We start from the raw sequence: 8,622 nt of genomic DNA, 5'->3' as shown, positions 1-8,622 counted from the left end.
ACACAGCCTCACTCGCCTAATGCTAATCTTGGCCCTGTTGGAGGCTGTCTTTACTTAAAACTTTCATACTGTGTTCATCATGGATCTTTTTTGCATTAACTTTGATTTTTAAAATATTGCATTAAAATAGTACTTATTTTGATTACAGGGTTTTCTGGTGTTTCCTTAAATTTTGTGCACATGACAAATGCCTTAGTCACCTCACCCTGGTCCTAGTCCTGAGTATGGTAGATGTCACACACACGATTAATTATAAAATAAGGTAATAAATTATGCATTGCATGAAGGTAACTTTTATCATCTCCAAAGAGGTGTGAAACATGATCCACCAGAGGCATAGGAAGAAAAAAACAGGTATAATATACATAAATATATAATTAATATAATTTATAATAATATAAAATATATAGTTATATAAAATCTGTAATAAATAATAAAATAAGGCTTCCTACTATTTAATAGCAGGTTTGATGATATAACCCCTACCTGATCCATATGTCAGCAGGACACATATCACATTCAGTTCACAAGGTATCTCGAGGGATGGCAGGGATGGTGAAGAGGGATTGACACTGTTGTTCTATTAGCAAATTATGATGTGTTGCAGATTCCATGTTCAGGTAAAGCAGATTTCTGTATTAGCCTGTCCAATTTTAAGCAACGCTTACCAATTTTATAGGTGGTTTAGAAACCCTCCAGCGATGGAGCTGGAGGTTGAATAAGATAATAGTAATCATGCAAACATAAGGCAATCAAAAATGCCTATGCTGACACTTTTCCATTTTGGAATACTTGAAACTCTTCATCAGCCAAATTATGAGGTTCAAAAAAAAATGAGGTTTTCATTAGGCCTAACAAGTTTTTCCTGAAGAAAAATTCAAAATTATCAAGAAGACGATTTGTAAAAAAGGGTTTACATCTATTCTGACAAAGGATGTACTTCAACCTAATTTGTTGGATTCTTTCGTTGAATGATCAGCAGTGGGTAGAAATTCTTTGCCTCCTCTGCCACCATCTCACTACCAGATGAGGGAATCGATCAATATAATAATGGCTTTCATGGGTCATTCTTTCCTGTGGCCATGCCTCTTTGCAATGTGATGTTGCTGCTAGTCCTAACAAGAGACAGAGTCTATTTCTCCGCCCCTGTTGAATCTGGGCTGGCCTGTAACTCACTTTGACCAAGGGCATATGTCAGAAGTGATGTTGAGCTAGTCCTCTAGAGGCTATTTAGCTTCCACTCTCATGCCCTTGGAAGCCTGAGATCATCATGCTGTGACAAAGCTTAGCACTGTCTCCTGGGGAAGCATTAACAGAGGTGCCCCCATCGACAGCTGGCACCAACAGCCAGACATGGGATTCAGGACAGTCCCAGCACTTTGGGAGGCCAAGGCAGGCGAATCACGAGGTCAGGAGTTCAAGACCAGCCTGGCCAACATGGTGAAACCCCATCTCTACTAAAAATACAAAGATTAGCTGGGTGTGGTGGTGGGTGCCTGTAATCCCAGCTACTTGGGAGACTGAGGCAGGAGAATCGTTTGAACCCGGGAGGCAGTGGCTGCAGCGAACTGAGATTGCGCCACTGCATTCCAGCCTGGGCGGCAGGGTGAGGCTCCATCTAAAAAAAAAAAAAAGGACCCAGATTGCCAACCAACAGAATCATGAAACATAATAAATCATCGCTTCAAGCCATTGGGTTTGGGGGTGGTCAATAGCAGCAGATAAGTGAAACAGGTTAAAAATGGAAGCTGGTCTCAGACAGAATTCTTTCACGTGTAGAGACTTGTAAGAAAACAGGTTCAAAAGCATCATACAACCTTTTTTCTAGGCTTGGTGCAGCCCCTGTTCTCTGTCCTTTTGGGCGTTCAGAACAGCCCCCTGCGGGGAAGAATCAGCAAGTCTTCCAGCTAGATCAGGCAGCAGAGTCCTCTGTGAATGGGGCCATTCAGGACCACATGGAGTTCTGTAACTGGGGTACCGCTTGGAAGGTGTTGGACTGCAGGGCGGTGGTGCATGCATAATCATTTTAGCCAACTATACACCTTGAAAACATTTTCCCAATGTAAAGCCTAAATCTAACATCCATATGCTAATTTAGGAGCCTTCTGGTGCTGATTTAGAGGTTGCTATTTGGAGCATTTGCAGAATCTGGAGAATGGACTCATGTTTAGGATTCTTCACTTCCTAATCATCTGCCCCTAGAGTGGGGATTCCTGAGGAGGGCTTGTACTAACTCACAGCAACCAAGGAGATTGACATTAACTAGCACATACATGTGGATCACTGATTTTATTTGTTTCCTCCCTTTCTCCAGGCAGCAGCCTCAAAGGTAAGTGTAACATGGTCCTATACAAGGCTGGTGAATGGAAAGAGGATAGGAAGTCTCCAAGACAGACAAGCAGAGCTGGTGATGGAGGACGGAAGGGTGCTGGGGTCCCACCATGGAGAAGCCAGGCGAAAGCAAGAAGGCCTTGTGTCACTTTTGACTTCCATCCATCCAGTATTTTAAAATCAGATTTCCCAGTGTTCTGCAGTTCATGGCACTTACAAAAAAGGAAAATATTCATAAAATACTACAAGGAAGACAGAGGCTGCCAGTACTGTGGATCACTGAGGGGATCTTGTGGTTTCCCCAGGGTGCCTCAAGGCAACAATGGGATGTTTTGTATATTTGTTTAAAAAAAAAAGCCCTTCTGTATAACTTATATATTTAATTAAAGTAAATGAAAGTTGACAGTTTCAATAAAATGTAGGAAAAATTCAATACCCCTTGAGATCACTGGGAACACCCTAGGCAGAGCACAGCCAGGGGTAAGTCTCTGCACTCAATCATATTTAACCACAAAAAAACTCAGTAGGAATAAGCAGAAGAGTGAGAGGAAGGAGACAAGTCTAAATCAATGGCAATTTAAAGTTATATATTTTAGAAACAAAAGATTGCTTTACTACTTCCATAAACTTTACAAGTTAGACACTAAGGTATAAGTAGTAATTTCATAGGTTAAATGAGAAGAGTTAACGAACTACAATTCCCAAGTAAACAGAAGTCTCCCAAATTGCCACATCTGCTGTCTCGAGCTAGTTGGGTCAAAGTACAATTTAGTCACATGGGTAATGATGGGAACCTCATGTATTGAGTGACTGCTGTGTTCCAGAGACTTCCGCATCCTACCTCATTCCCTTCAGCATATTTCAGCTCATGTAGCTGTCCTATCTCCCACCTTAAAACCAAAAACCAAAACCTAAAACCCAAAGCCCCAAACAAAAACCAAATCAAAACTAAGTTTTCTTAACTCCACGTTCCCCTCCCCTCCCCCCTCCCCCCTCCCCAGGTACTGCCCCATTTGTTTTCTCACAACATCAGTTCTTTTCAGAATTATTCCACACTGCTTGTCTCCACGTCTTCGTTTCCCGGCTTCAATTCAACACACTCATCAGGCTTTTAATCCCAAGCACGCCATGGAAACTGCTCTTGACAAGGTCTGCAAAGCACTCCTTGCCAAATCCGTTGGCCAATTCTTTATGTTCTTCTTGTTCAACCTCTCAGCAGCATTTAGAACAGTGGATGACTCTGTCCTTCTAAAAACGCTCTCTTTTCTTGGCTTTGGAGACACCAAACCCTTCCAGCTCCCTTCCCGCCTCCCTGGATTCTGGCTTCTCCTCACTGGCATTCTCCTGTTTCTTTACTACTCTCCAGCTGCACTTGCCTGCTTTCTGTTTCTGAAGCATGCCAAGCTTGTGCCTCCTGCCCAGTGCCTTTGCACAAGCTGTTCCCTCTGTCTGGTTGCCACATGGAGGTTCTTTTGCATCGTTCAGCTCAAATATCATGACCACATAGAGTCCCTGGCCTCATTATCTGAAATCACAGCCCCATCCCACCCCGTTGCCTGCTTGTTTTATTTTTTTTTATACATGTATTTCTGTCTTAAATCCCTATTTGTGGACTTGCTTACTGTTTGTTGTCTTCCTCAGGAATGCAAACTCCTTGAGAGCAAAAGCAATGTCTGTGGCTACCTGAAGATACCCACTACGACAGCCAGCCTCCAAACTGACCTCCAGTTATCCTTGCCTCCTGCTATTCACGCTCTCGTGCAGTCCTTTCCTACCTCGCACTGGGGCTAACCTATGTGAGCAATAGAATACTAAACAAAGTGACAGCCTCAGACTTTCTGCCTTGGCCTCTTGGATTGCTTCCTTTTGGGGAAGCCAGTTGCCATTTTGTGAGGTCACTCAAGCAGCCATCAGTGGAGAGGAACTCAAGCCTTTGCTTGACTTTAGCCTGCCAATATCTGGCTGCAACCTCATCAGAGACCCCAAGCCAAGCCAGAACTGCCAGCCACATGTGTCCTGAATTCCTGATCCACAGAAACCATGAGAAATAATAAATGAGTATTGTCACTTTAAGCCATTAAGTTTTTTGGTGGTTTGTTATGCAGCATTAGGTATTCACAGAAATGCCTATATTCAGTTGAAAAGGATGCTCGAACTAGAAAATGAATTCCTGCATGTCACTTCATATTTGACTTCAACATGAATCCACATAATACCCATCAGCCTATCGAGAAGTATTTGTTGAGCAAATGCCATGTGGCAAACACTGTGCTAAGCTGGAAATACAGAGCTACACAAGGTATGGCCCCTGCTCTCAAGCAGCTCTTGATGTCATTTCTAAGACAAGACAATAGCTATTTGGGAGATAAATATGACTGTTGAAAAGTTAACAACATAAAATAGAAATTTAAGGGATGGTGATTTCAGAGGAAGGTAAGAGACCTTAGGGTTCGGTTAGCATAAAACATTTTTATTGTAGAGATGGGCATGGACCTACACGAAAACACAGATCTAGAATATTTGCAGTTCTCAAACTTTAGAATGCATCAGAACACCTGGAGAGCTTAAAAGTCAGATTTCTGGACCCTATTCCCAGAGTTTCTGATTCAGTTGGACTGGAGTGGAGGTCTAAGAATTTGCATTTGTAACAAGCTCCCAGATGTACTGATGATGCTGGTGTAAGGGCTACCCTTTGAGAAACCACATACCTCTAGATGCCTGCCACTCAGCGTGGTTCACACACCAGCAGCAGAAATGTCTCCTGGAACCTTGTTAGAAATGTAGACTCTCAGACCCCCACCTTATGCCTACTAAATCAGATTCTGCAAGTTAACAAGGTCCCCAGGTGTCTCACATACACAGGGAAGCTTGAGAAATCCTGCTGCAGAGGGTAGATGGGTTATGCTCCCTTTAGCAAGCTGGGCAAGAGCTGGATTTGCTGGGCACATCTGAGGTCAGGTATGACTTGTGTGTATGTGAGAATTTTTCTCGATGGTCACCCCGTTTGGGTTTCATTGATTTTCTCAGGCAGACCTTTTTTTGTTTTGTTTTGTAACTCATTGATTTTTGCGGCAGACTGAGTCCTCCTCATCAGTTCTCTGCAGGTAATTTCAATTCATTTTGATTCACTTCCTCACCGCCTTGGCATTTCTCCACCCGCACTTGGCAGTACCACTAATTGTGCTTGCCCGTGAGTGACTGGATATGACACAACTGTGGAAAACTGCAAAAGGTCAAGGGGTTACTGCCTTGTGCAAAAGCAGAGAGGCCTGCATGCCTTTTGGAAAGCCAGGAAATTTGAACCAGGGCCAGGCACAGGAGCCCCGTGATGTTCATGCTTTTCACCAAGTAAGAAGCAGGTGACAAAATGAACATGGCTGTGGCAATGCTTTGAACACAGCTGAAAAATTCTATGCTTGCTCAAGGCGAATGGGCTGTTTTCCACTGGTGATTATGAGATAGATATGGTGACATCAACTGCTCTAATGTTCAGCCCAAGGAATTTTATCTTATGTCTTTTGTGCTCACATGAAGGCCAAGCCACTCCCAGGGACAGAGGAGGCCATTGTGTCTGCTCTGTCATGTCAGGACACAGGGAAAGCCCCATTCCTCACATCTCCCTGTCTAAAAATTTCCTTGCTTTCTTCTCTGTTTTGTGGGTTTTCAAATTTTATCCCGTCAATTGAAATCACACGTTAGCCACGCTCTTCTGGGAGTAACAAGCTGCTAATGTTCCCCCTTTCATTCAACTGCCATTCAGCAAACATTCTCTGTCTTTGGACAGACAAAGACGATTAAGACAATGCCTTTTTTCAAGGGGGAGGAAACACGCTTACTTTCAAAAACTGCAAATCAGTGTGCTATGTATTGTATAAATACTGCTAAATTTATACAATCATTCAGTTCTCTTAGGCAGAGGTTCCCAAACTTTCTCTGTTCACGGTACCCAGTGATGTTTTCATGGCACTCCAAACCTAAAGAAAATATCTACAGTTCTGCTTTTTTTTTTTTTTTTTTTTTTTTTTTGAGACAGAGAGACAGAGTCTTGCTCTGTCTCCCAGGCTGGAGTGCAGTGGTATGATCTCAGCTCACTGCAACCTCTGCCTCTTGGGTTCAAGCAATTCTCCTCCTTCAGCCTCCTGAGTAACTGGGACTACAGGTGCACACCACCACGCCCAGCTAATTTTTGTATTTTTAGTAGAGACAGGGTTTCACCATGTTGGCCAGGCTGGTATTGAACTCCTGGCCTCAAGTGATCCTCCCCTCTCGACCTCCCAAAGTGCTGGGATTATAGGCGTGAGCCACCATGCCTGGCCCAGTTCTGCTTATTAAGTAATTAGGGTAAAACAACTTAATAGTACCTGCGCCCTATATATTACTTAGTAAACATTTAAATAAATACACATAAATCGGAAGAAAAAAAATTTTTTAGATGACCACACTTACTAATGAGATTGTGTACGCTAGTTGAGAACACTACGGCTTCTCAAATTATGGAAGCACCACCAACCCTCACTTTCTGTTTCATATTGAATTTTGTGACCTCATGTTAAAACTGAACTAGTTGAGGCTAGCAGTTTGTACAGTGTCTGGCAGTTGTTAAGTACCTCTGTGTTTCTCTTGAGAATTTAAAATATCTCATGGTATCTCTATGAGTTTGCTGGGGAACCACAGGGAACCATGAGGTCTTATGTAAATACTGAAAAAATAGGCAACTCGAAAAATCCTGGAGCCGTGTATTAGTCCATTTTCATGCTGCTGATAAAGACATACCTGAGACTGGGCAATTTACAAAAGAAAGAGGTTTAGTGGGACTCACAGTTCCACGTGGCTGGGGAAGCCTTACAGTCACGGCGGAATACAAGGAGGGGCAAGTCCTCTCTTACATGGATGGCAGCAGGCAAAGAGAGAATGAGGAAGACGCAAAAGTGGAAACCCCTGATAAAACCATCAGATCTCGTGAGACCTACTCACTACCATGAGAACAGTAAGGGAGAAACTGCCCCCATGATTCAATTACCTCCCACCGGGTCCCTCCCACAACACGTGGGAATTATGGGAGTATAATTCAAGATGAGATGTGGGTGGGGACACGGAGCCAAACCACATCAAGTGCATATTGCTCAGTCTCCTCAAGGACTCAAATTTATTAAAGTGCATTCCAATGAACAAATGTTAAAAATGAGGTCCATTTTTTTTCTGATGTTATTTAGATTCATTATCCCATTATCTAATTCATTTTTTTAACCCATTTTAAGGTCTCTGATACTGTAAATAGTTTTGTTGGTTTAGAATTATTTCTGTCATAAGTTTATTTATTATAATATACATACAGTAAAAAGAGCAAGGGTGCTTCGAGCAAGTGTCTTCTTGCTGGGTTTTTACATAGGTATACACTATTGCTGTGTGGGCTGGATAATTCTTTGTTGTGGGGGACTGTCCTGTGCAATACAGGATGTTTAGCAGCCTCCCTGGCCTCCACCCTCTGGGTACCAGCGGCATACCCACCCAGTTGTGACAGCCAAAAATATCTTCAGACATTGCCAAATGTCTGCAGGGGCAAAATCACCCCCAGTTGATTTTATATCATGTCTGCAGGGGCAAAATCACCCCCAGGTGGTTACCTGTTCTATACCATGTAACCACCACCCTCAGGTTGCCAGATTTAACAAACAAAAATGCAAGACAGCCAGGTACATTTGATGTCAGATAAACAACAAATAATTTTTTGTATTAATGTGTCCCAAATATTTAACTGGGCATCCTGTATTTTATCTGGCACGCCTACACCTCCCAGATCAAGATAGAGAACATTTCCAGAACCACAGAGGGCTCCTTTGTGCCCCTTCTCAGTCAGTCAATACCCACACCCCAGGGCCAACCACCATTTTGAATGAAGTCAACTTTTATGTTTTTGTGAAATCCACAGCAACACTTCCCAACAACCCCTTTCTCTGTTGCTCAGTTTTTTTCTCCCCTGAAGGGCCTCAAAACCTCTCCCATGCTAAACTTAAAGAATCTCTTAGACCCGACTCCTGTACCTTTTCAGTTTCCCTCCCCCTCCTCACTCCCTGTGACCCATTCACCTTCTTGTTTTGCTCTTTCTGCCCTGCTACTTCTCTTCACAGAAATAAGAAACTGAGAACCAATCCCGCAAGCAGTTATCATTCCACATTCCTGTTGCCTGTCTCATACTCTTCCTGCCACACATTTTCTGGATTCTGCATGACCACAAACTCAGAGCTAGGCTGACAAAGCCTTCTCTGTAGGGAGGAGAGGGATCTGGAGGGC

Source organism: Homo sapiens, chromosome 9 (genome assembly GCF_000001405.40).
Source record: "Homo sapiens chromosome 9, GRCh38.p14 Primary Assembly".
Classification (NCBI taxonomy): Eukaryota; Metazoa; Chordata; class Mammalia; order Primates; family Hominidae; genus Homo; species Homo sapiens.
The sequence above is the reverse complement of the archived record's forward strand: the minus strand, read 5'-3'. Positions refer to the sequence as shown.